This window comes from Homo sapiens, chromosome 2 (assembly GCF_000001405.40).
Source record: "Homo sapiens chromosome 2, GRCh38.p14 Primary Assembly".
NCBI classification, from domain to species: Eukaryota; Metazoa; Chordata; class Mammalia; order Primates; family Hominidae; genus Homo; species Homo sapiens.
The window spans coordinates 219,995,006-220,021,863 of NC_000002.12; the positions used below are offsets into that span (position 1 = coordinate 219,995,006).

The 26,858-nt window shown below is 42.0% G+C and overlaps 1 long non-coding RNA gene across 4 annotated transcripts in view; it reads left to right on the top strand.

The window, feature by feature from the left end:
• The window catches only part of LOC105373891 (uncharacterized), an 87,352-nt gene that overhangs the window by 47,164 nt on the left and 13,330 nt on the right, over window positions 1-26,858 (top strand). For 3 of the 4 annotated variants that reach the window (XR_001739888.2, XR_923928.3, XR_923930.3), the window contains exon 2: window positions 18,765-18,964. This is a non-coding gene — a long non-coding RNA (uncharacterized LOC105373891). Of the gene's footprint in view, window positions 1-18,764; window positions 18,965-26,500; window positions 26,809-26,858 lie in introns of those variants that run through there. The other variant, XR_923929.3, reaches the window with a different exon arrangement.

Genomic DNA, 26,858 nt, shown 5'->3' on the forward strand with positions numbered 1-26,858 from the left:
CTTGCTCTGTCAGTCTCCCTCCTACCCTCTTGATGAAGGTCTTGACTTCAGAGGACCTTTCACAAATAACAAAGGTGTCTGGGCTGCCTGGAGTGTCTGTTCTATGCTAACACTCCACTAAGTGCTTTATATCTGCAGTTTGCTCTGAGTGAATTGAATCCCCAGACTCTAGGGTAAAGGTGATATCGTCTTCATTTTACAGACAGGGAAACTATGAAGCTGGGAAAGGCTATTTATTTTTCTCAGGATTATACATCTGGTAAATGAAGCTTACTCCTTCTATAATTTTACTCCTTCTATAATATAATAATATATTACCCCTTCGATAATAGCTGCTGATATGGGCCAGGGGCTTCTTATCCATTATTTGCAATCCTCATAACAACTCTGCTGTCTCATCCTCTTTGTTTACCAAGTGATGGAATTGAGGGACAAAGAGGTTAAATAACTTGCAGTGGGTCACACAGCTAATAAGTTATAGTTATGAAGTTTAAGTGCAGGGCTCTGAGACTCCCAAACTCCTCTTTTATTCCCTTTCTCTTGAGACTTCTTAGACTTCCTCATGATCTCACCGAGCCCTTCTCAAATAACTGTGTGTGTTAGAAGTCTGGTTAAAAGAACATCAAGAACAGAGCTGACAGGCAAAACATGTCTCATTTACAGGGCAGCCTGCGTGTGTGGTGTGCAGAGGGCAATGGTGGGAAGCGAAACCCCGTCCCTGGTCTTGGTAGTTCATGGGCTGATTGTAAGAACGTGAGACCCTCTTACACTTTCTTTTTGAGCATCTCCTGTTGGCACCACCTCCTTTTCTCTTCCTTTTGACTTCTACGATCTTTGGTCTGTGTTGTCACCTCCTTTTGACTTCTGGAATCTTTCATCAGTGTTGTCACTCCACGCACTGGCCCACGCCTCTGTCTGGGCCTGTACCCAAGCCCCCTCAAATCATTTGAGTGTCTGCCTTAGTAAGGGAAGCCATGAGGCACCAAAGGTACCAGGAAGTGAACCAGGGTCTTGTCTGGACCCCAGCCCAAGCCCAGACTATGCAGCCAGAAGGAGATCACTGGAAAATGGTATTAGCTCGTTGCAACCTTTAGCACCATTGCTGTGGCTTCTTTCCTGCCTTGGAAAAAACTGCCTACTTTCAGTTTTGGATGAAAGTCATCCTACTTTCAGTTTGATGACTCCCCAACTCCCTCCCACAAACCCAGATGCTTTGGGCCAAAATCTATTAGGGCAAAACACACCCTGCTCACTCCAGGCTGTGAGAATGGCTAGACTTTGTGCATCTTCTGATCTGATTACATTTCCAGTCCCAACCACCTTCATTTTTCACCTCCTAATTGATTTCCCTGCTTCCACCCCTCCAATTTATTCTTTGCTCAGCAGCCATCCCAATCCTCCTAAATTGTGAGTCTGCTCATGTCACTCCTCTAATGGTGTCTCATGTTCTTTAGAGAAAAAGCTGAAGTCCTCACAGTGGCCTACAGTGATCAAGGGAGGGGCTGGCATTTTTTTTTTGGCAAAGGGGCAGATGGTAAATACTTTTGGCTTTGTGGACCATTGGCGTCTGTGGCTACTACTCAGCTCAGCTGCAGCAGGAAAGCAGCCACAACATGTGAACAAATAAGCATGGCTATGTCCCAACAAAACTTTACTTATAAAAGTGGGTGATAGGTTAGATTTGGCCCACAGGCCGTGATTCGCTGACCTCCTCTCTAGGTGATGTGGCCCTGACACCACATGGCCTTATTACCTTCTGCTCTTGCCCTCTGTTTTAGCCCACTGTCCTCTGTAAACATGCCAAGGCTTTGCTTGGCCTTTGCATCAGCTGTTCAATCTCAAACATTTTCTCCCTTTATCTCCGAGCGGCTCATTTTCTTACTTCTTCAGGTTTCTGCTTAAGTATCATTAGCAGAGAGCCCACCCTGACCACCTTATCAGAAATAGCAACCTTCTCATTTTCTTAGCACCCCATCCCCTTTACTCTGCTTTAGTTTGCTCGATAGCCATTGCTACCACCTGACATCTTTATTTATTTGAATGAATAAATGGTTCCTTCGGCAAATATTACCGAGTGCCTCCTTAATGCCAGCCAACTCTCTAGGTGCTGGAATCCCGTAAAGAACAAAACAAAGGCCTTGCTATCATTGGACTTTAAGTCCAAAGGGGAAGACAGACAACAAAAGTAGTAAAAATAAATATAAACATTGGTAGAGATAAGTGCTATGGAGAAAATTAGGCTGGGTGGGAGATGGGTTGTGGTGGAGGCTCATGTCTCTGTTTCTCTGGTAGTAGTTGTCTTCTGCCTGGCCTCATTGCTAAGATTTCACGGGTTACAGCAACAGTGACGTTAGCTCCCATTGCTCAGCTTAGAAGTTGGTGACGCAGAGCTGGAGCGTCTGACAAAATCCCAGAGCCAATAGGGGGCGCCACAGACTGGGGAGAACTGGCTGTGCAAAAAGGTGTGATCAAGGCAGGGGCAGCCAAGCTTCTGAACACGGTGGAAGGGGAGATGAAGGCTGGCAGCACAGGGGCAGGGAAGTTGGAAGTTGTGGGAGGTAACCGGATCTGAGCACAACTGCCTCCACTACCTGTGTTTTTCATGGAGTGCTGCCTAAATTACAAGGCGTTACCGAAGAATGCGCTTCTAAGTTGGATGCTTCATAAATCAGCCAGGCATGCATTATTATGCTGCAACAGAGCCCTTGTTGTGTCTTAATGCTCAATGATACAGCACAGAATCTGGGTTGGGCTTTCTATCATCTTGGACGTGTGGCAGGAACTCGCGCAGCTCTAATTGCTCTACGTGGGAATGGATTCATTGGTGCTTTGGCAGAATGACTCACTCTGATCAGCGTTTAGATTGAAGGGACTCTACCTGGAATCACAGGCTCAGAGAAATCTAGAGACCTTAGAGAGTTGATCCTAGTCTAATCTGCTCATGCTACAGATGGGAAAAATGAGGCTCACAGAGAGGAAGTTACTTGCCCAAGGTCATAAGTGGCACTTAGGGACACAAGTCAGGCTACTGATTCTGAGTTAAATACTTGGGTCACCATCCCAGATTCTCAGGAGAGCCGCCGTGCCCCTTCCTAGGCCTGCAGCAGGTGCCTCGGATGGTGACATTCTCTTGCCATCTGACTCAAGCTGCAGACCAACTGGAAGAAGCTGTGCCTCATTTACTTGAACACAAATGGACAACCAATTAAAAAAAAAAAACAGACTTTCACATTTTATGGATCCTTAGGGACTTAGTGAACTCATGCTCCCAGATTAAAGGAAAGAGGAAAACCATACCCTTCTTGCTGAACTATGCTGCCTGCTGGTTCCCCAGCGCACCCTGGTGTTCTCCGGAATGGAGACAGCCTTTAGGACAGCTGGAGAGCATTATCACTTGAAGGCTTGCATTCTGGCTTTTATATATGATTTACATACATCTGCATACTGTATGCTCTGGGCATTGTTTTCTGTGTCATGCCATCTTCACAGTCTCCCTTCTCCAAGCTCACTTGGCAGTTTGGCTTCCTCAGCTCTGCTGGGTGAGGTGAACGCTTGGTTGGAGTTTGATCTGGAGAAGCATCTAGAAGTTTCACCTCAGCGGGAGAGACTCTGGGACAGAGAGTGGCTGCTGAAGTCAGTGATGTGTCAGAGTCAAGTGGCCATCAGTTTCCTTAAGGTTCTACAGTAAGATCTGTTTATCACACTCCTTATCTGTCTCTGTCCTGAGCTAACTGTGTTTCTAAGTGCCAGGGGTCGCCCATGGGTTCAGAGTGACTGTCTATGTGTCAGGTAAAGTAGAAACTTTAGGATGCCATGGAAGAGACAGCCAACTTTTGGGCACCGTAGATAAGAAATGCGAATTAAAGCCGCAGTGAGATTCTACTACCCTAGTGGGTTAAAAAGACTGATAATACTAAGAGTTGACAAGGCTGTGGGTCAAGTAGAACTCTTATACATAGGAGGTAGGAGTGTATATTGGTACAATTACTTTAGAAAATTACTTGACAGCACCACCTAGAGGTAAATATTTGTCTCCCCTGTGACCCAGTCATTCTACTCCGAAAGCTTTCACCAAGGAAAGGGGGCACACATGTCCATCAAAATACATGTACAAAAATGTACACAGCAGTTTCATTAGTGATAGTAAGACATTGGGATCTACCCAAGTGGATAAGTAAATTGGATATAATCATACAGTGGAATAGTGCCTGACAACACAAAAGAATGAACTACTTGTATACTACTTATACATACAACAACATAGATGAATCTCACAGATGTAATATGCAGCAAAAGAAAATAGATACAAAAGAATCTATCCTATAGCATTCTATTCATGTGACATCTGAGAGCAGGCAAAGCTAGTTTATGGTGATAGAAGCAGAACTGTGGTTACCTCTGGTAAGGGAGTAGACTAGGAAGGGGTAAGGAGAAGCCTTCTGGGGTTGATGGAAATGTTACATCAATAGTAAAAATTCACTCATTCACTTAAGTAAGATTTATGCACTGTATAGTGTGTCTGTTATAACTCAATAAAACTGAAGGAGGAAGAAAAGGGGACCTGAGTGAGAAAGACTCAGGGTCATTCTGGTAATATGTTCTATGTCTTTGACTTCCGGGACTTGGCCTCTATTTCCAGACTCCTGACACCAGCTTGCTTGATGGACTATGCTCTTTAGCATCGCCCAATATCAGCTCTGCTATTTGCCTACAGCTTGATGTTCAAACGCATTCTAAGATTGACACTAACTTCTGATACTTGTACAGTGTATGCTCAACTTCAGGTTTGCCCGACTTCAAGGTGAGCTGATACTATCAGAGCTTGCCTGCACCAAAGTAGCTTTTCTGGGGCCTGCCTTCCGCACTCTCCGGCCCCCTTAATCCAACACTTGGTACTCATGATGAGATAGGCCCCAGAACTCCTCATACCATATTTCCATCAGCTGCCCACAGCTGCCACAAATTCCTGGGGGCACCTACAGTTGATCACTTCAGGTCAATGTACAATTGCTAGTTGTACAATAAACCCTGGAGGTCTTAGTGAGGTGGATTGCTTAGAAAAGTCTGGACTCCTTTGGGCCATGCTAGAGGCTGACTTAAGGGCTAGAATAAAAAGACCTTCTTGCATCCTTTCCTCTAGGCCAGGGATGGCAAATACTTCACATATGGGCTAATATGTCTTCCCCAGCTCCTTCCTACCCCACAGCAGACATTAATAATCGACCACAGCAAAAATCCTGGATAGAAAAGCATTCCAAAGAATGTACAAGAAAGCAACTATGTATCTAAGCCTCTGGAGAAGAGTTGTTTTCGCAAGACCTAGCTAGGCAGCACCTCCCAAACACAAGGACAGCTGCAAAGAGGAGAAGGGAGATGAAAGTTCTAGGTCTGGTTTCTTAGAAGTAGATGCTGAAGAGAGGATTTGCCGCAAAAGACTTATTAAGGAAGTGCTCCCAGGTTAGGGAAAGGGATGTAGGTGAGCAAGTGCAATCTCAGGCCAAAGGTCCCAGAAGTGACTTTATTCTGATGGGTAGAGGCACTGTGGGGTGTAAGTTGCACTCCGAGTTGTCCAAGGGAACTGGGCCTGTGTACCTCCACACCACTGGTCAAGGGCCTCCTGGAGAGAAGCAAATTCCCAAGAACTCCTGGCTGTCTGTGTGTGGGAAGTGCTCCAGTGTCCTGAGGGCAGTCCTCCCAAGAGGAGCCTTGATGTGAATGTGGGAGGCAAAGGTGCACACACACTGGGGCACACAGAAACAGCAAAACACTCTCCATGACTAATAAGGCAATTCAAAAAGATAAGGCCAGTGAGAAAGATGCGGGGCCTGGCCTCTTGGTCGTTAATCCCTCCCTGCTCTGGAGAAGAAGCGCGAGGAAAGAAAAAAGCCTTGGACTCCTCATGGTTCTTACCTGACCCACCTGCATGGTAGTCATTCCTAGTGGATGGACAAGGGAGGGAGGGCAGGGATGCTGCCTGTAGATGCCACATTACATAGGGTACAGGCAGCTTCTGGAGGAGACTGCTGGCCCCTGACACTCATACAAGGTCCACTAGAATCGCAATCACTTCCATTTTCCCAGCACTGTGTGGTTCCAGAGTCCTTTTACCGGCATGACTGCATTTTCACTGCCTCTGAGGTAGGCAGAGAGTTTTATTTCCATCAGTCATGGAATATAAAGCGCGAATGCTCTCCCCACTACCTTCCTTTGTGCTCCTTCTTTAATTACTTTATATTTTTGTCTGAAACTGACCCTTGATTGTATAGATCCATGGCTGAGCTGGGGAGGGTAAGGAGCTTGTGTTAATGCTCCACCTTTAAATGGCTCTCTCCTTACTCTGTAATAGAATGATTTCTTTTTCTTTTGTTCAAAAAGATTTGGACTCTGGTCACCTGGCCCAAGTATTGGCTCAGCATCTGCTTGCTGTTAAAATTCTTGAAGCTCTCTGGGCCTCAGTTTCCTCATTTGCAGTATAAAGAGGTTGGCCTAGATTACAACTCCAGTCCTGGCTCTGAAATTGTGTGCACACATGGCTTCAGGTTATGGGAATTGTGTTTCTTTGTTCATTAGGAACAAAGAGCAGGCAGTATATTTTAAAGGTTCCTACTCTATTTTGGCTTCAGTACCTTAATTTTTAGGTAACATTTTTCTTTAAGAGGAGGGAACTGGCTAGTATAAGGAGACCTGCTTTTTTCTTTTCTTTCTTCTTTTTTTTTTTAAACATTAAAGCCCCTGTCTTCAGGGAAGAAGAGGCTGTTGGATGTGTTTTGAATGTTTCAAATCAAAGCCTGCCAAGGGATGGAGAGCTATAGGTTTCAATAAGCACCTCTTTCAGTAATTTTAAGAATTTCACTTATGAGGATAATGAAATCTTCAGAAACCCTAGGAGACATACCAGAAAAAAGTATGACTCATCAGTGGAATTTTCCTAAATACTCTCTCCCCCTACTACATTTGTCCATCAGGAGGGCCTCCTCTGCAGATTCTGAAGACGTCTATAGCCTAATTGGATGCTTGGATTTGGGAGCTCAAGAACCTTGGGAACTTGAGTACTGCTCCCCACACTTCTCAGGTCCTCCCAGCAGCCTCCAGGCCCGCTGTTGAACACTGTGACTCTGGGGACCCGGCTTGCTGTCATTTGTTGGTGTGTCTGTTGTGGCAAATGTTCCTGCTGGAAGTCTGGACCATCGAGAGCAAATGCTTGTTTCCTTGGATCCTGCTTCTCACCATGTGACTTTAATAAAAACAGATAGAAACTGTCACTGTTTCTGTGACAAGATGTGTAGGCTTCTTTCAGATGTGGAATCTGTACCCTGGGGTTTGCAGGCCTCAGTTGGATGTTAAATGCCCTGAGGTCTATGTGTGTAGACCTTGACTTGGATTATGAGCCCTGCTCCTATGCAGGAGAGAGGGGTAGAGCCGACTTCTTCCCTTTTGTAGGTTTTCTTGAGCTGTTGCCAAAACTCACTCCCAGCTATTTAAAGATTAGGAAATACATTTTTGAGAACTTGATTGGATGTAATTTCAGAAAAAGACACGTACATTTAGAAAAGACAATGTAAAATCCTAAAAGACCCAGTTGAAAGAACGAGTTGATGTTTAATTAAAAGCAGTGGGCATAAATGGATTCTGCACATTTTCGTGGATCAAGTTACCTAGAAAGAAAGAAAACTTGTGGGATGGGTATAATATAAACAGAAAGGGGAGTTAAAATAAAGACTTTAAGAAATTAAAATCAAAAGGGACTCTTCAAAAAGAGTGTCCGTCTTGGGTATTAACCTCCAACATTGAAATGAAAACAATTTTGAGAAGCTTAAAAAAAAAAAAAAAAGACAGCCCACATTGCGGCCTGCTTCAGATCTCTGGTGCTTTAGCTTTCTGTGGGAAGCTACAGTTTCCTGTCATTTGCTTGCTGGGTCTAGCATTTGTTCTCTGCCATGTGCATCTAGGATTTCTTACTAGCTATCCAGAGTTATGCTGCCTTGAAAGAAGAGGACATGTGGTTGTTCTTCTAGGCAAGGCCCTCACAATTTGTGAATCCAGTGTAATGGTTAAAAAGTGCTGAGCAGTAACCGGGAGACTTAGGTAAGAACCTAAGCCAGAGCTCATGTTTTCATTTCTCACTCACTGCGTGACTCGGGGGAAATTACTTTCCTTCTCTGAGACTCAATTCTCTCATTATAAATGAGATCCTTTCAGTGCTATCCAAAGGGACTTTCTGCCATGATGGAAATATTCTCATATCTGTGCCTTCCCATGCAGTGGCCTCTAGACAGTGGCTTTTGAGTCTTAGAAAAGTGGCTAGTATGTCTGAAGACTTTCAACTTCTTTTAATTTCAGTTAATTTTGATTTATTCTTAAATAGCCACATGTAGCTAGGGGCTAACATATTGTACAGAGCAGTTTGAGATGTTGCTGAAATCCTTTCCAGTTCTAACATTCTACGATTCCACACTCTGGTGCTGAGGCTTGCATTGCTGGCCAATCTCAAGCATTCGTCAAACTGTTATGCAGAACCTTGCGTGATCCACTTCTCATTTCTAGGGGAAAAAAAAGAGCAGCCAGGCAGAATTCTTCTTCCCAAATAGCTCATAGTTTTGTGGGAGAGAATCATACACTTCTAGAAACTGTAGGATGTTTCGGTTGGGACTCCTGGGAAAATGAAAAGTAGAATCAGCCTTCATCAATATTTGTTACACAAGGGTCTTTAACATTCCTCCAGCAAGGATGCACCACCAGGTAGTCTGTTCTGTCTGGGTCTGGCCCAGTTTTCCTCCTTAACCCAGAAACTAAAAGTAATCTGGACATTCACCCGCTGCTGAGTCAAACGTGGTTATTTTTAGTTTTGGGAGCCTTGAAACCTAATGAGGGTAAATGACCTAAAAGAATAGGAGTATGGGATTCTGTGTTTCATTCAGCGGATAAGCACTTACTGCATGCATTTTGAGTGTCAGACATTGGGTTAGGGATTGGGGGATACCATCGTGTGTGAGACAGGCAGCCCTTCATCTTGGGGAGCTTAGGAGAGGAGGCAGACAATGCACGAGAGGGAAGGATTTTAGATAGAGTTAAGAAAAGAAGATGGTGGCACTAATGCAAATAATAATTTTAAAAATCATTTAGGACACCACAACAAAAGATGCTGGTATTTAGCTTGCGGTCTCTGGTTGGCCATTGGTGTGGGAATAGTGAACTTGGAGTTAAAAAAAAATGAGTTCCGGGCCTGACTGTGCTGCTTACTTTGGTGTGAAGTTGGGGAAGTACAGGGTTGTTCTGGGGATACAATAATGTGTGTGAAAGGGCTGTGTAATCAGCTGAGCACTCTACAATGGTAAGATGCCATTACTATTGTGTAGGCTGCAAAATCTCCTTGTAGATAGTAATTGACTAGTTGAGGTTCTCTAGTTTGGAACACAGGAGGGAAGAGGAGACTCTCCAGAGGGACCGAGAATGTTGTGAGGAACATGAGAAGGATGCTGTGGGTGGAAGGGTCCTCAAACTGTCTTCTCTGAAGCCCTTGGCTTCCACTGAGGGGCTTCAGCAGCAGTATTGGCTAAGGTGCTAGCCCAGTGGGTCTGACTGTAATTTAGCTAGAACCAGGTATCTTAACTCTTCCCTATATTATACATACTAGCTATGTGTAAAGTGTTACTAAAGGTATCTTTTGGCAATTAAAAAAATACTGGTTAGGTGGATGCTGAGAGAAGGTGAGCTCAACAGGGGAGAGGGGTCAAGGAATGTTGGAGGAGCTCAGGCCAGCTTCCCCTCACTTTAGGATTTTGCTTCCTCTTAGGAAGTGGGTGTGAAACCGTGAGGCTGGCAGGAACCTGGGAGAATCCCTGGAACAGGATGGGGAAGGGGCAATGGCTGCACCAGGCATATCTCAACCTTATGTGCAGAGCACCTACAATTCCCATTGTGTTGCCCAAGTCCTGCAATTCATCTTGTGTCCCAAAACAAATACAATTAGGATTGACTGGTTATAAATTGCTTTAAATTTGGCTATAAACACAAAATGTGCTTGAATCACAGCACATTAGACTGGAAAATACCTAAACTCATCTTATCCCCTAACATCTTAATTTAACAGACAAGAAAACAAAGGCCAGAGTGGGGAATGGGCTTGCCTAAGATCCCAGAATCAGTGGCAGGGCAATAACCCTGAGGTTCTGGATCCTCCTGCAGAGGCAGAAACTTCAGAACCAGGAAAGGCTGAGGCTGAGTGGTCTTTTCCTGGCCCACAGTTTTCCTTCCCTAGGGTGCCTCATCTGTGTGACATCCCTGCCTAGTAACACATATGAAGCTGTTAGTACACACTGAATGCATGTTCCAGGCACTGCACTAAGCAATCTACTACCTTGCCTCATCAAATTCTTGGTGCTCAGTGTCTCCCATTTGCCCCTGCAGATCCACTTGCTGCTGGGTGCCTCATATGGAATGCATTAAGGGGCTGCCTTGTCTGTTGGGTTCTTATGGTTTCAGCTGAAGGGACGTATGGAGACCCCAAGGGGAGGAGGAGAGTGTGGTTGATGCATTTATTCATAAGCCTCCCTTTCTGTCAGGTTGCTACCAGCTGGCTGCGTGCCTGCATTGAAGGTCATAGCTCACATCACGGAGCTCCTACTTTCTTTGGATGTGGATACACACACTCTTCCAGGTGCCCCTTCGGGACTGATAATGGCACCCACTTTACTATCCTCGGGCGCTGCACCCTCCCTTGTGCTTTTTCTGCACTCTCCACACTCCTTTGTCAATAGTTCTTTTATGAAACCCTCCTTGGGTTATCCCAGTTTGAGTGCACCATCTGCTTTCTCCTGGGGCTCTCATGAATGTTCCACACAGCGACCCTATGAGGGTCATTCATTACTCCCACCTCACATGTGAGGAAATGGAGACACAGAAAGTTAGGAATGGACCCAAAATCACACAGCTAAGGAAGCCCAGGAGGTTCCAGAAACTTTGCTCTTGAACGAGGCATTGCAGCTCCTTGGAGAGCAAGTGAGGAGGGCGGGTGGGTGGGTGATAGGATGGTCCAGGGCTTGACTTCCATCACAGACAGCTTCTGCCTTCTGTCTAAAGTCCCTTTGCAATTTGGGCTTCCTCATTATTCCCTCCTGTCTATCAGCCCAGCCAGGGCCATTAAATGCTTGGTGGACAGCCTGTAAGAGTTGGCAGTGTGGTGGGGCCTAGAGAAAGTGGACAACAAAGTTCGTTTCTGTGGTTAAAATAAAAACTAAGACAAGACAACCCTTAATTAATTAAAGGAGCAGAAATAGCTCCCGGATGTGGCAGGGGCTGACAGCTTCTCCTCGATGATTTCATTCGGTGGTGATGGTTTTGTCAATATTACATGCTGCCCGGAACCACACACAGTCTCCTCTTCTGTCTGAGAACATTTTTTTCCCCTTTGAGTTGCACAAGCTCAGGCTGGGAGTGACAGAAGCCAGCCTATAGCTTCACTGACCTACTTCCCGCTGGCTCTCCAGCCAGCAGCCCACGCATCATCCATTTTAACCAGCTTTTCAAGGTCAGGACTTTTCACTGCAGAGACCGGCTTTTGCTTGACACAAAGCCAGGTGCCATCAATTGTCCTGTTTACTAAATTTTCAATGTTCTTTTTCTTTAGCTGAGCAAAAAGTATGGGTTGGGCTCCTGTTTAGGACAGATAACAAATGCAGTGACTTTGAGCCTAAATTGGCCACTTCATGTGCTGAAAAAGCAGGTTTTCCACTATTAATGGAGCACCTGGGCCAGACCAAATGCAAACAGTCAAGGATTTAGGCTGTCCCAGTAGACGGTCACACTCCTCTTTTTTTGTGATGCAGACAAATGTATGCTCCACATAAACACAATGTCTTATTTTTCACTTTTATGAAAGAATTATATGAAACCAGCTCTTCACAGATAAAAAGCAACTGCTTTGTGTATCTATTACTGTACCTTTCATCTCAACAGGCTTTGTGAGAAACTTCCAGCTGGAGGTACATTCTTTTCTGGTTTGATAAAGATAAATTGTATTCAGTAAGAGAGAAAGGGGAACATTTTCTTGATTATTCTCTAAATACGAAGTCGGGGGAAATGTGATTTTTTCCCCCAGTATTCAAAGAAGTTAGTCCCCTTTCATAATGACCCCAAATTTTCTGTGCTGCTCAGCATACTAAAACTGTTTGATCTTGAGAGAAGCTTGTTATGTATGGAGTTCTGGGAGCTCATTAGAGAATAAAGAGGACACGTCGCTTTCTCTACTAATATCTGCTAATCACTGGCTGTAAGGTACAGGCAATATGGTGTAGTGGTTTATGGCATAGACTGTGGAGTTTGAATGTCAGCTTTTCTCCTGCTATTGTATGAATTTTGGCAAGTTACTTACATTGTCCATGCCTCAGTTTCCTCATCTGGAGTGTAGAGATAATAATAACCCTTATAAGGGGTTGTAATGGGTAAATATTAGGTGTTTCAAACAGTGCTTGGTATGTAGTTAGCTTTTGTCTTAGCCCTTTCTGATTGTTGAAACAAAAAAAATGGATAATTTATAAACAACAGAAGTTTATTACTCACAGTTCTGGGGCCTTGGAAGACCACAATCAAAGAGCAGGTAGATTTGACATCAGGTGAGGGCCTGTTCCTCATAGATGGTGCCTTCTAGCTGTGTCTTTTGGTGGCAGAAGGGGCAAACAAGCTCCCTTGGGGCTCTCTTAATGCCTAATCACGAATCCCATTCACCTAAATCACTTGCTAAAGGCCACATCTCTTCGTACTATTGTGTTGAGAATTACATTTCAACATATGAATTTTGGGGGGACACAAACTTTCAGATCATAGTAGCTTTTAATAAGTGTTAACAATTATTTATCACATGAAGGATAGAAAGTCAGGAATAAATGCAGCCCTGTATGTATGAATGCATATGCATGCACATGAGTGTGGAACGAAGTTGGTTGTTTGCTGGGAGAAGGGAGCCTGGAGAAACAGGGAGCAAAGGAAGGGGTGGTGATGGATATTCTAAAAAAGGCTCAGTGAGATCCTGAGGACTGATTCTCTTCTCTGTTGACTTTCAGCACAAGAAGGAAGACAGGAAGAGGCCCACTGCCTCTCAGGTTGTTGTCCTTGCCTGGATAAGGAAGCAGAGAAATGTAAAGGAATACATTCACAAACACACATACACAAAGATAGAGAGGAAAATACATAGACAAAGGCATAGACTAGACTCAGGGAAAGTGGAAGATTTACAGGGGCAGCCACACAGAGTGAGGGAGACAGGGAAAGAAACACAGGTGCAAAGAGGAAGAGCAACACAGGGAAAATGTCCATGCATGTGCACACACACACACACACACACACACACACACCCCCCATACCAAGGAGATGACAGTTGTTCTGGTTTGTTGATGCTAAATTCTTGGATATAGCAGGATCAACATACTGCTGGAGTCAAATTGTGAAGTTGAATTATCTTTATGATCAAATGGCAACATTAAGATTATGTATATAAAGTTCCTCACACAGTGCCTGATAAAGAAAAGTTATTAATTTTAATAGAATCTTCTTTTAGTGCAGATACTGGCAGAAGAAACCCCTTTCCTGGAGTTTATGTGACCTTACCTTACAGAATGTTTCTTTCCCAGGGTGGGTGTATCTTGGTTCTGGAACCTCCTCATCTATCGGCATGTCCCCACCACTTTCTGATTTGCTTGTGAGAGTCATGGAGGACAGATGGGATATAACTACTATTTCCTCTCCACTAACAAGCTGGCAAACCTTAAAAGATTGGAGGAATGGGGGCTGGTGGGCAAAGGAATTTGGTCAAAGTACAGACAAAAATAAAATGTCCCTGACTGGGGTACCATATACAGTGAGACCCATACTAAGCAGTGTTTCATATGACTGTTTCATGATCTCAAAATCCTTATGGTTTCTTAAATCCCAAGGAAATGGGCCTGAAGACACAAAGAATGTAAACTAGATCTTTGAAATCCCCTTTGGTTATTCTCTAGAAACTTATTTCTGCAGAAGTGCCTTCTGATTGACAAAAGCTCACTTTTATATTCACAATCTCACTCTGTCAAGGTCTAGTCTGAAATCACCCTCAGAGAATATTGTGCAGTAACTTTTAAAAAGCCCAAATCCTGTCGATTTTTGCATTTAATTTATTGTTTTCCTTGGTCAGAGCTTTGCTTTGTACATAACCAAATCCCAGTTTTGAGTGCCTATCGCATACTGCTAAGCCATGATGTTGGAAGGCATTTTTTTAATTTAGAGCTTGAAATTCCCTTAGTTTACTTTCAAGTTCCTAGTCCTTTGGAAATTTATATAAAATTTCCCGGCCCCTCCCAGCCTCCTATTTTCTGCTCCCTTTGGAAGCAGTTAATTAATTTTATTTCTCAAAGATGCTTTGTTTCCTTAAGTAGTTCAGTCTGGCTAGTCTTCCTCTGGGTATCACTTTTCACCAGCATTTTATGCAAACTCATTCAGAAATAGCTCATTGTGGGCCAGTTTTCTCTGTTTGGAAGGACAATTGCTTATGAGGTCAAGGTCCTTATGCATCACTCAGTTATTCAACAGTCTTCCATGAGTCCCTGATTTGGACCATGTCCTCAGGATAAAAAGACTCAACTTCTGTCAATCCCTACCCCCACCCCATAGAGGCCCCAGTAGATGTGAGTGGAGCTCAGTGGGGTCTTCACAGGCACTTTGAGTGTGTGTGGGGGTTTATCCTGAAAATAAAAAAACATGAGAGCTGGTGAGTAAGACCAAGCCAGTGCCTTTGACAGGGAGTTGAGAGATCAGGAGAATACACTCATCTGTCAAGCCAGCAGGACTATAAATGGGAGATAGAACCAAGAGTCAGTTGCCAGACAAACAGCAGATCAGAAAGGGATTAGAGGGAATCAGTTCCAGGATGCCTGCTGTGAGCTCTGTTGGGGTGTTGACAGCTCAGATTTATGGTCTGGCAGGTACACAGTGCATGGAATACAGTGCAGGTGCACAGTGGCTGGACTAAAGGTACATGATCTGGAAGGGGTCTGTCCTGACTCACCATCCCTCAGGCCTTCCATGCAATATGGGATGGAGTGGGCAGCCCCCATTTCACTCAATGAAAGTACAGTGGAATATTCTGGGACATTCACACTTAAAGCCTGATGACTGACTTCTCTTCTGGGTCATCTCCTTTGCATGATTCTAGGTGTGGAGCTGGAAAAAGTATCTGTGATAATCTCGTGTTTCTTTTATTGCCTTCTCCAGCTTCCTGTCTTGAGCTAGAGGCTGAGTCTTGGGGTAGAGACTTGGATGAAGATCACAGGTGCAGACAGGTCAGGATAGAAGGAAGTGGTGATCAAGAAAGTGAATGTGCATAGATGGTGTGGCTTGAGGCAAAAGTCAACAAGACCATTTGCTGGTATGACTTAGGGTAGGTCTTGGGCAGAGGCAGATGATGATGACTGAGACACCTCAAGAATGGCCGGACTGATGGAACCAGGCAGAAGTCCAGTGTAGAAGTTTATCATTTTGGTTAGTGCATGATCAGAATCGCATGTGGCCTTAGAAGGGTGATAGCTCTACTCTAAAATCTACAATGATGATTTTCAAGGAGTTTTCAGGTTTAGGAGCAAAGGGTCCCTTCGGTTGTCCCTCGTGGGTATTATATTGATTATAATTGAATTGGATTTAAAACTGTGCCCAGGCCTCAGGGATTTGCTTACCCCTTGTACCCCCTGCTACTTCCAAGCTCTGTTGTGTGGGCTTCTCCATGGCATGTGGAGCCCGATGTTGTGTAGAGGAGACCCACTTACAATCAGTTCATTTAGGGGATGCCCAGAGTGTCTCAAGGCATAGACAACTCCTGTCTTTTACGCTAACTTACCTTAATTAAGATCACCTGTGTCTGGACTGAGGCACCAGTTTCCTGGGCAGGGAAGTCCTTGGAGTAGGGTGTTTGGCTGTTGTGTCATAGAATAAGGAAACTGTTCTGCCGTGTGAAGGTATAGCATTAAAAAGAATTTCACCACATTTGAAGGTCCAGAAGTAAGAAAGTTGACGTTCTGACACAGGCCAGAGTAGAGCACGGACGAGATGGGTCACAGACGACAGATGAAAGATGAGGTACTTTAGCAGTAGGATGTGGCAGTGTGGTGATATTTTTTAATATATAAAATTATTATTTTGATTTTCATCTACAGTTCCTGGCTCATAACTCCCACAGCCCTTGTTACAGTCTTTTGTTATAACTTTGGGTGTGTTAGGTGTCAGGGGCAGGCCTCAGGAAACAGAATCTAATTTTCCCTCCCCTTTCTGATTGTGAGTCAAGAGACCCTCATTCCAGAGAAGGTCCCACACTGCCTGATACCATGTGGGAAGGAATGCTGACATCATGAAGCTTCCATGAAAACCCCAGAGGACAGGATTTGGGGAGCTTCTGGATAGCTGAACACCTGGTGGTTCCTGGAGGGTGGCACACCCATGGAGAACATGGAAGCTCAGCACCCTTTCCCCCATATGCCACCCTACACATCTCTTTATCTGTATTATTTATAATATCCTTTATAATAAATGAACAAACATAAGTTAGTGCCTCTCTGAGTTCTGTGAGCCATTCCAGCAAATTAATTGAACACAAAGAGGGGGTCTTGGGAACCCCAACTTGAAGCAGGCTGGTCAGAAGTTCCAGAGGCCTGAACTTGTGACTGGTGTCTTATGGGGAGGGCATCTTGAGGCCTGAGCCCCCAGCCTATGGGGGGAGGTCCGACATTCTTTCCAGGTGGATAATTTTGGAACTTAATTGGAAGACACCCAGCTGGTCTGTGCTGCAGAACTAGTGGCTTGCTTGGTGGTAGGGAGAAACCCCCGCCCATTTATTCACAGAAGTCTTCTAGGTTGATTGTTGTTGTGATGGTGTGAGAGCAGAGGAAAAACATGGCTTGTGAGTTTTCCTGAAATAAGCAGAAATGACAGTTCTGGGCCTAAGCTTTAAAGAGGCCAGGTGGTTTCCTCCCTTTCACCCTGGGGAATCCTAGGTGGCCATGTCATGACTGAGAAGTGAGGCACAGCAGCTGGGACTTAGCTGTTTGTGTTCCTGCTGAGTCCAACCTATCACTCACCTCTGCCAAGGCGCCAGACAGGTGAATGAGCCATCTTTAATATTTAAGCCCTGTTGATACCCTATGTCCCTTCAGATGCAGAAAACTTCACATAGAGCAGAAAAGTCACCCAGCTGAGCCCAGTCAGTTCACAGAATCATGAGACAATAAAATAATTGTTTTAAGCCACTAGAATTTGGGGTGTATGTATGTTATGAAGCAATAGGTGGTGAAAGCAAGATATATGTGTGTGTGTATATATATATATATATGTCCTTTATACTTTATTATAAGACTGGTAAGCTATGACTCATGGGCCAAATCAGGCCCACCATCTATTTTTGTAAATAAAGTATTATTAGAACACATTTATGTCCACTTGTTTAAGTGTTGCCTATGGCTGCTTTTGCACTACAATGGCAGAGTTAAGTGGCTGTAACAGAGACCATATAGCTCACAGAGCCAAAAATGTTTACTGTCTCGTCCTTCATAAGCTGACTTCTGACTCATCAGCTATCACAGTAATATACAAAAAGGTGAAAAATAAACAGACTGATCTTTTTTAAAAGTGTATAAGACTCAGTGTGCAAAAAGCAGTAGCATATAGGAAATGGCTTGTCTCAATATGGAGATAGTTTCTAATGTTCCTTGGGCTGTAACAGAATTGGGCTTTGGCTGCAACGTATCTTCCTACTACCATAGAGTACAATAGAGTAGATCTGTGGCCAGATTCACTCTCCCTCCTCCTCTGTGGGAGTCATATACTTCCCTACTATCCCCTGATGTACTTGGCCATGAGGCTTGTTATGGTGAGTGGAAGCTAAGAGAACGTGACATGAACAAAGGTTTTAGCTGCGCTTATGTGGTTTGGCTTAACTTCTTGAGCCCCTGCTCTCTGCCATGAGATGAGCATGCTCCAGGTAGCTGTAGCTGATGTTGCCTGGATCTCAGAATGAGTGACCATGGAGCAGAACTAAACCCTGCTAGTGAGTGAGTCCAAATCCAGCTGAGTCCAGCAGAGCACAGAAAACCTACAGACATATGAAAAATAAATTTTCCTTCCTTCCTTCTTTCCTTCCTTCCTTCCTCTCTCTTTGTCTGTCTTTCTTTTCTTTTCTTTTCTTTCTTTCTTTCTTTCTTTCTTTCTTTCTTTTCTCTCTCTCTTTCTTTCTCTTTCTTTCTCTCTCTCTCTCTTTCTTTCTCTCTCTCTCTCTCTTTTAAAATTCAGTGACCTACAACAGCAGCTCTGCCATTAGTCACTGAATTTTTTGGAGTTGTTTGTTACTTAGCATCATTGCAGCCATAGCTAATTAATACAAAGCCCAAGAAGCATAGAAAGAAAGAGAATATGCTATACATAAGAATGCTACTAGCCCATTTAGCACCTTTTTGAAAATTAACAAAAGTGATCCTCTGCCAAGAACGCTTTTTTTCCCATCTTCAAAAATTCCCATATAGAGTAGTTATCTTCCCCTACCCATGGGGGATATGTTCCCAGACCCCCAGTGGATGTCTAAAACTGCAGATAGTACCAAACCCTGGATATACCATGTTTTTCCCTATATATACATACCTATGATAAAGTTTAATTTATAAATTGGCTCAGAACAATTATAATAATATTCTATAATACAAGGTATGTGAATGTGGTCTTTCTCATAATACCTTACTGTACTCATCTATTTTCAGACTGTTTGACCTCTGGTAACTAAAACTGCAGAAGGCAAAACTGGATAAGGAGACTACTGTAATGATTATGCTATTACAAGACGCTCGATTGCTAACATCAGACATTTTTATAAAAGGAAGTGAAGCTATGAGATCCACAATGTGAATGTCACCCAACCAGAGGTGTTACTTTGTGCCATGTACAACATACACAACCATAGGTGATGACTCTATACCTTGAGAGAACTCAATGAATTGTATTGTCCTGAATTAACTCTTGAATGTTAGAGGCAGGAAGCAGGATTGGTATCATCAAAGACATTAGCTTGCTGCAGAATATTATTTTTCAGTGGCAAAAGGTATAAGTTATTTCACATAGCTCTTTGCATTTTTTCATGAACAAATTCTGACTGCCCCCTTTGCAGATCAGAATCTGGTCGCAAAGTTGGATGAGGGCAAAAGTAGTGTACTCAGAAAGGGAGAAAAGAAAAGCTCATTTTAAATGTTAAAATATTACCATTGCTTATGCATGGTAAGATTTTACACTTGCTGGTCTTTCTATTGGGGCAAATGCAAGAGCAATGCCTCTCTCTTTGTCTTCCTTCTGTCTTTTATTCCCCTCTAGGGTAAGGAGGAATACATAGACATTAGTTTACTGGAGAGTCAGAACGGAACTGGGTATGACTAGATGAATTTCCCAGTGACTTACCTAATTTAGTTCAGGCAGAGGTATGTACTTCCCAAACAGCTTGTTATCTAACTTAAGCCTGTGTATCTTAAAGCCCTGGTGAGCACACCATATATAGTAACAGAGAAAACCTAGATTGTATAGTTTGTTGTTTTTTTTTTTTTTTTTTAGATGTGCTTTGAATTCTGGTCCTTCAATTTATTAGTGACCCAAGTTTCAGTCTTTGCGTTTATATAACAGCAAAATGAATTCCTATTTCAAAGGGTTATTATGAAGGTTAAATATAATATACAAGAATAATCCAGAAGAATGTGCTATATATTAGGCATTTGCTGTTGGTAAATTTCCATTTTTCTTCAGGGCAAAGGAAAAAAAAATGCAAAGTGAAAAGCTTATATCTTTGATGTCTTTTCATCTCTCTTTTCTCATCTTTAGTGTATAATCTGCCATTTCTCTAGCTCCTCTCTTGCCATCATTTTGTGAGCACTCAGGTTTAAATTTTTGTTCATACAAAGTTGTAGAAACAAGTACATGATTGTAGCATGTGTGTTCCTTGCTCAGTTAGACCCAGGCAAGCCCGGGCACATCTGCATCTCTTATTAGATTCTAAACTCCCTGAAGACAGGGACCTATAAATCTTATCTGCACTGTATGCAAAGGGCCCAGCCAACACCCAAATTCATTGTGAGCAAGTAGTGATGCTTATTGAATTAAAAGTGTGTTGTGCAATAATAGTGAAATCATAACTATCACATTGTGATAATTCTTCCATCTGCTCATTCAATAAATACTTATTGCTTGTTAATTATCTTCATGTCTGAATTTTATGGCTATAAGTAGAAATGCTGATATTGTTGGAGATTTAACTTGGAAAGCAAATGTTTCCTAGCGGTCTTCTTCAAGCTTCTGGGTCAGTTTAAGATATCCTGAAAATAAGCTAAATAGAAGTATTAACTGTACATCAATGCTGATATGAGACGGCTATTAAGCTCTATAAACTCCTTATTTTAAAATGTTGTGTTACTCAAAGCTACCTTTCAAAGATGTTGATTGAATTTCCAATAAGTAAATGTTATATAAATTTGAATTTATAAAATGCAGTGCTAACAATATTTGGCTATTTATCTATTGTGTATGTTGAGCATTCTGATAAGATTTTTATCTGAGAAAATTGCTGTCATACTTTTTTTAATATTATTGCTACCTTGGCATCCACTTTTAGGCATGACAGAAGTTATTTAGTTTTTCAGGTTTGACGTAAGTTATCATTTTTGGCCTAGTTAAAACACCCCTTCTTCCTGTTTGTGATATGGCCCACTTGTTCATTGTCTTACAACTCCAAAACCTAACACATCCCACAGCTGCTGACCACATGATATGGTTTGGCTGTGTCCCCAGCCAAATCTCATCTTGAATTGTAGTTCCCATAATCCCCAAGTGTTGTGGGAGGGACCCAGTGGGAGGTAACTCAGTTATGGGGGCAGTTACCCCCATGCTGCTGTTCTTGTGATGGTGAATGAGTTCTCATGATATCTGATGGTTTTATAAGGGGCTTTTCCTCCTTTTGCTTGGCACTTTTCCTTGCTGCCATCATGTGAAGAAGGACATGTTTGCTTCCCCTTCCACATGATTGTAAGTTTCCTGAGGCCTCCCCACCCCTGCGGAACTCTGAGTCAATTAAACCTCTTTCCTTTATAAGTTACCCAATCTCTGCCCATGCCTATGTCCTGAATGGTAGTGCCTAGGTTTTCTTCTAGGGTTTTTATGGTTTTAGTTCTAACATTTAAGTTTTTAATCCATCTTGAATTAATTTTTGTATAAGGTATAAGGAAGGGATCCAGTTTCAGCTTTCTACATATGGCTAGCCAGTATTCCCAGCACCATTTATTAAATAGGGAATCGTTTCCCCATTTGCTTGTTTTTGTCAGGTTTGTCAAAGATCAGATGGTTGTAGATACACAGCATTATTTCTGAGGGCTCTGTTCTGTTCCATTGGTCTATATCTCTGTTTTGGTACCAGTACCATGCTGTTTTGGTTACTGTAGCCTTGTAGTATAGTTTGAAGTCAGGTAGCATGATGCCTCCAGCTTTTTTCTTTTGGCTTAGGATTGACTTGGCAATGCGGGCTCTTTTTTAGTTCCATATGAACTTTAAAGTAGTTTTTTCCAATTCTGTGAAGAAAGTCATTGGTAGCTTGATGGGGATGGCATTGAATCTATAAATTACCTTGGGCAGTATGGCCATTTTCACGATATTGATTCTTCCTATCCATGAGCATGGAATGTTCTTCCATTTGTTTGTGTCCTCTTTTATTTCATTGAGCAGTGTTTTGTAGTTCTCCTTGAAGAGGTCCTTCACATCCTTTGTAAGTTGGATTCCTAGGTATTTTATTCTCTTTGAAGCAATTGTGAATGGGAGTTCACTCATGATTTGGCTCTCTGTTTGTCTGTTATTGGTGTATAAGAATGCTTGTGATTTTTGCACATTGATTTTGTATCCTGAGACTTTGCTGAAGTTGCCTATCAGCTTAAGGAGATTTTGGGCTGAGACGGTGGGGTTTTCTAGATATACAATCATGTCATCTGCAAACAGGGACAATTTGACTTCCTCTTTTCCTAATTGAATACCCTTTATTTCCTTCTCCTGCCTAATTGCCCTGGCCAGAACTTGCAACACTATGTTGAATAGGAGTGGTGAGAGAGGGCATCCAAGAAACCACCATCAGAGTGAACAGGCAACCTACAGAATGGGTGAAAATTTTTGCAATCTACTCATCTGACAAAGGGCTAATATCCAGAATCTACAATGAACTCAAACAAATTTACAAGAAAAAAACAAACAACCCCATCAACAAGTGGGTGAAGGATATGAACAGACACTTCTCAAAAGAAGACATTTATGCAGCCGAAAGACACATGAAAAAATGCTCATCATCACTGGCCATCAGAGAAATGCAAATCAAAACCACAATGAGATACCATCTCACACCAGTTAGAATGGCGATCATTAAAAAGTCAGGAAACAACAAGTGCTGGAGAGGATGTGGAGTAATAGGAACACTTTTACATTGTTGGTGGGACTGTAAACTAGTTCAACCATTGTGGAAGTCAGTGTGGCGATTCCTCAGGGATCTAGATGGATTTGACCCAGCCATCCCATTACTGGGTATATACCCAAAGGAACATAAATCATGCTGCTATAAAGACACATGCACACGTATGTTTATTGCAGCACTATTCACAATAGCAAAGACGGGGAACCAAGCCAAATGTCCAACAATGATAGACTGGATTAAGAAATTGTGGCACATATACACCATGGAATACTATGCAGCCATAAAAAATGATGAGTTCATGTCCTTTGTAGGGACATGGATGAAGCTGGAAACCATCATTCTCAGCAAACTATGACAAGGACAAAAAACCAAACACCACATGTTCTCACTAATAGGTGGGAATTGAACAATGAGAACACATGGACACAGGAAGGGGAACATCACAATCTGGGGACTGTTGTGGGGTGGGGGGAGAGGGGAGGGATAGCATTAGGAGATATACCTAATGTTAAATGACGAGTTAATGGGGGCAGCACACCAACATGGCACATGTATACATATGTAACTAACCTGCACGTTGTGCACATGTACCCTAAAACTTAAGGCATAATTTAAAAAAATAAGTTACCCAGTCTCAGGTATGTCTTTATTAGCAGCATGAGAACGGACTAATATATCACACTAAAACCTAATGGTCAACACCAGGTTTATGTAAATAAGTTCCCCGCCTTCACAGAGGTTTTCTTTAAATTAGCTAATCAATGAGCCTCACAGGAAAGCCTTAAGGATAATAATACCCGTGGAGCTCAATAAAGGGATAATTTCACAGGTTTTCTCTCTCTTCCTCTCCCCTCCCTACCCGTTTCCTCTCTCCCCCTCTGTCTTCTCTTTTTTCCCCCACTTATCCCTACTGGTTGAATTCCCTGCTGCCTCCAGACTCCCCCTGTGGGCACCTGTAACCTCTCTGAGACTTGTGAGTAATAAATTTCTTTTGTTTTATTAATTTTTGTTCACTTCCTCATTGTGTCTCATCTGACACCCGAATGTAACTTTCCCCTATCAGAGCTCACCTACAGAGTGCCTATCTTGGCTTGCGGTCATGCTCAAGAAATAGAGTCCACAAGACCAAATTAAAAAGAAATCATAACAATAAAAATCACGACAGCACAACTGCTGAAAACACTACTCTAGAGCTATTAGCAAACTTTTTCTGCAAAGGTCTAGATAGTAAATATTTCCAGCTTTGCAGACCATATGGTCTGTTTCACAGTCTCTCAGGCTGTTGTACCATGAAAGTAGTCACAGGTAATAAGTATAAAAATGGGCATGGCTGTGATCCAATAAAATTTATTTACAAAAGCAGGCAGTGCACTGGAGGTTTGGCTTGTGGGCTGTAGTTTGTCAACCCCTCATCTATAGGAGATAGGGTGAGCTTTATCATCTATAGACTTGGGTGAGTCAGTTATTCTCTCTCATCTCCCATGTCCTTACCTGTAGAGGAGAGCTAATAAAACCTACCTCACTGAGTGTTGAGAAGATTAACTAAGATAGGATATAAAAATACCTAGCGTTCTCATAGTTTTCTTTCTTGATTTTTTTCTCCAATAGCCAATGCTGCAATTCATTCTTTCCTTTTTTATTACCCTGATTGGAACAGTTACATTACTTTAGTACGACTACTTTACCTAGTAATTGTTATAATTTAATACTCACAAAAAAAGATTACTAACATCTAATGCTCCCAGAGGAATTTGCATTAGAAACAAGAATTGACTAGCCTAACTGATAGAAGATACATTCAAAGTGTAAACTAGACCAGTGGATTTTAATGTAACAGAGCATAATGAATTACTTGATATGGTTTCAGAGTCCACATTGCAACCAACATTTAAGTTATCACTAATTGAGTTTCAATGTAATATCAAAGAAGAATACCTGTAATTATCTGAAAAGGCTATTAAAACATTTCTCCATTTTTTTTTCACTGCTTATCCTCATACAGCTGTTTGAGGCTAGGTTTTCTTTATGTTTGGACCAAAACAACATATCATAACAGATTGAATGCAAACAGATATGACAATCCAGCTCATTCAACCAAGCTAGACATTAAAAAGGACCTTCCAAAATAGAAAACAATGTATTTCTTCTCATAATCTTTTGTTTTTGAAAATAATAATTTTTCCTAAAAATATTTGTTGCCTTTAACATGAAATATATTTATATTTTAACATTTTCTCAGTTTTAATTTTAATATAGTGAATATAGACATAACACACATAAACAGAAGCTTTTTGGGTGCTTAATAATTTTGAAGAGTATAAAGGGATCCTGAGACCAAATATTCAAGAACTGCTACTGTAGTATAAGAAGTAAAGGAGCTCAAGAATGATGATAAGTAACAGCTAATGCTTGGCTTGGCTTCACTGTCAGGGAGCGATGAGGGAGCGATGGGGTTTGTGGCAGCCTGTGAAATGCATGCTTTGTGTAAGCAGCACAGCTATCCTTCAGTGCATGCTGATTTTTGCTGTGGGGTAAGGCATGTACAGAAGTTCTAGTTTTTAAAGAAAAGCTAACATTCCAGACCTTAATGTGAAATATCTCGATTTTAATATTGGCCGTACATTCAGGAAAGTATTAGCATCGTGTGTAGGCCAAAAGAAATCCACCCAGGGACAGGATGCTGCCTGTGAGACATCAGGTGCAGCTTCTGGTCCAGGTTTGTGGGTTGACAAATCTCTTTACTGCAGGAGAATAGTGTATGTCTATGGTGATAATATTTATCAGTAAGGGTTTCAAGAATGGGTAAGGATTTCAGAATTTTGTGCAGAGGCTAAAATATTCTTTTTAAAAAAATCACCAAAATCACAAATAGCTTGACTGTTGTGTTCAGCCCATTGGGGAGCCTGGAAGAAGAGGGGGCTTTTCTTTTTTTCCTCTGAATTCTTTTTCTGAAAATGAGTGCTTTTTGTCTCTACCCCTCACTGTAAAGAAAACCTACTCCACATAACATAATAGCTCTTTGTTTTATTAGTGTGGTTGTGTTCTTCTGTTCTCAACTGTTTGTCACCTTATACACTGGCAAAAAAAAAAAAAAACCAAAAAAAAAAAACAGAACACTGCTGGATTCCTTAAAGTTCTGCAGCTTATAGCTCCATTTTTAGCAAAAATAAAAAACAACTCAGAAGTAGCACAATTGGAAAATTTGTTGGGATTGTCTGAATAAAAATGCTTTTGCCTTTAATCTAACAGACTAATTTTAAGAGAAAACCAATCCATAGAAAATGTGCTTTTATGTTTCTAAATTAAGTAGCTCTAGATTTGTAAATGGTTTGAAGTAACAAGTATTGCATACACTCAAATTTTCTTTAACATTTTTTGATATTCTGTTTATTTACAAAACAAATAAGCCCTTCTACAGCCCAACCATCAATTATTATTTTCCTCATAGCAATTATGTCAACATTTTTTTTAGCCTGACATAATCCATCTTTTTCATTTGTGTGATATGAGAACAAAATCAATTTTTGAGGTCTTTGGTATAATGGAAACTGGGAGGGTGGAGTCAGATGGCTGTATGTGGATAAGAATTTTCCCTCTTTAATTCATATTAGCTATGTGATATAATTTTGAACAAATGGTGAAACTCTTTGAAACCTACTTCTTCTTTTGCAACATGGAAAAGATAAAGCTGATTATGCTGGCACTGAACACAGGGCCTGGCAGGTGGGAATAACTATAACAATAATAAGAGTTAATCTTGAGTGGGAGTTTATCACCACATACTAGGTATTGATTTAAATCCTCTACACAAATTAACTCATTTAATACAAAGGCTTCTTGATGGAGGTACTGTGATCATTCCCAGAGATTAAGTAATTTACCCCAAATTACATAGCTAGAAAATTGAAGAGTCAGGATTTGAACCCCAATAGTAGAGCTTAGTAAATCTTTCTTTCCTCCTTTTCTACTCCCTCTCTGCTTTAGATACTTTCATTGTGAGGCTACTGGGTCTGTGACGCATTTGAGTAAAAGGAAAGGAGATTTGGTGGGTGAAGCACATCTGTGATACACACAGCAGAGCGTGCCCCTGCCAAGAGCACCAAGGATTGGGTGGAGCCGAGAGCTACGTTCAGACTCAAACCCCGTTGTGATGATCACTCTAAGTTTAATATACCTTCGGGAATCAAATTTCATGGATGCATTTGAAGAAAAAGAATACAAAATTTGTCCAAAGGTGAACAGTTACTTAGAATGATAAAGGAAGCAATCTATTTTTAACAAGCCGATCAATATCACAACCACCACAAAATCTAGAAACAAAGGTGTGTTTTCATGTCAAGGATTTTATAATATTGTTTTCCATAACAAGAAC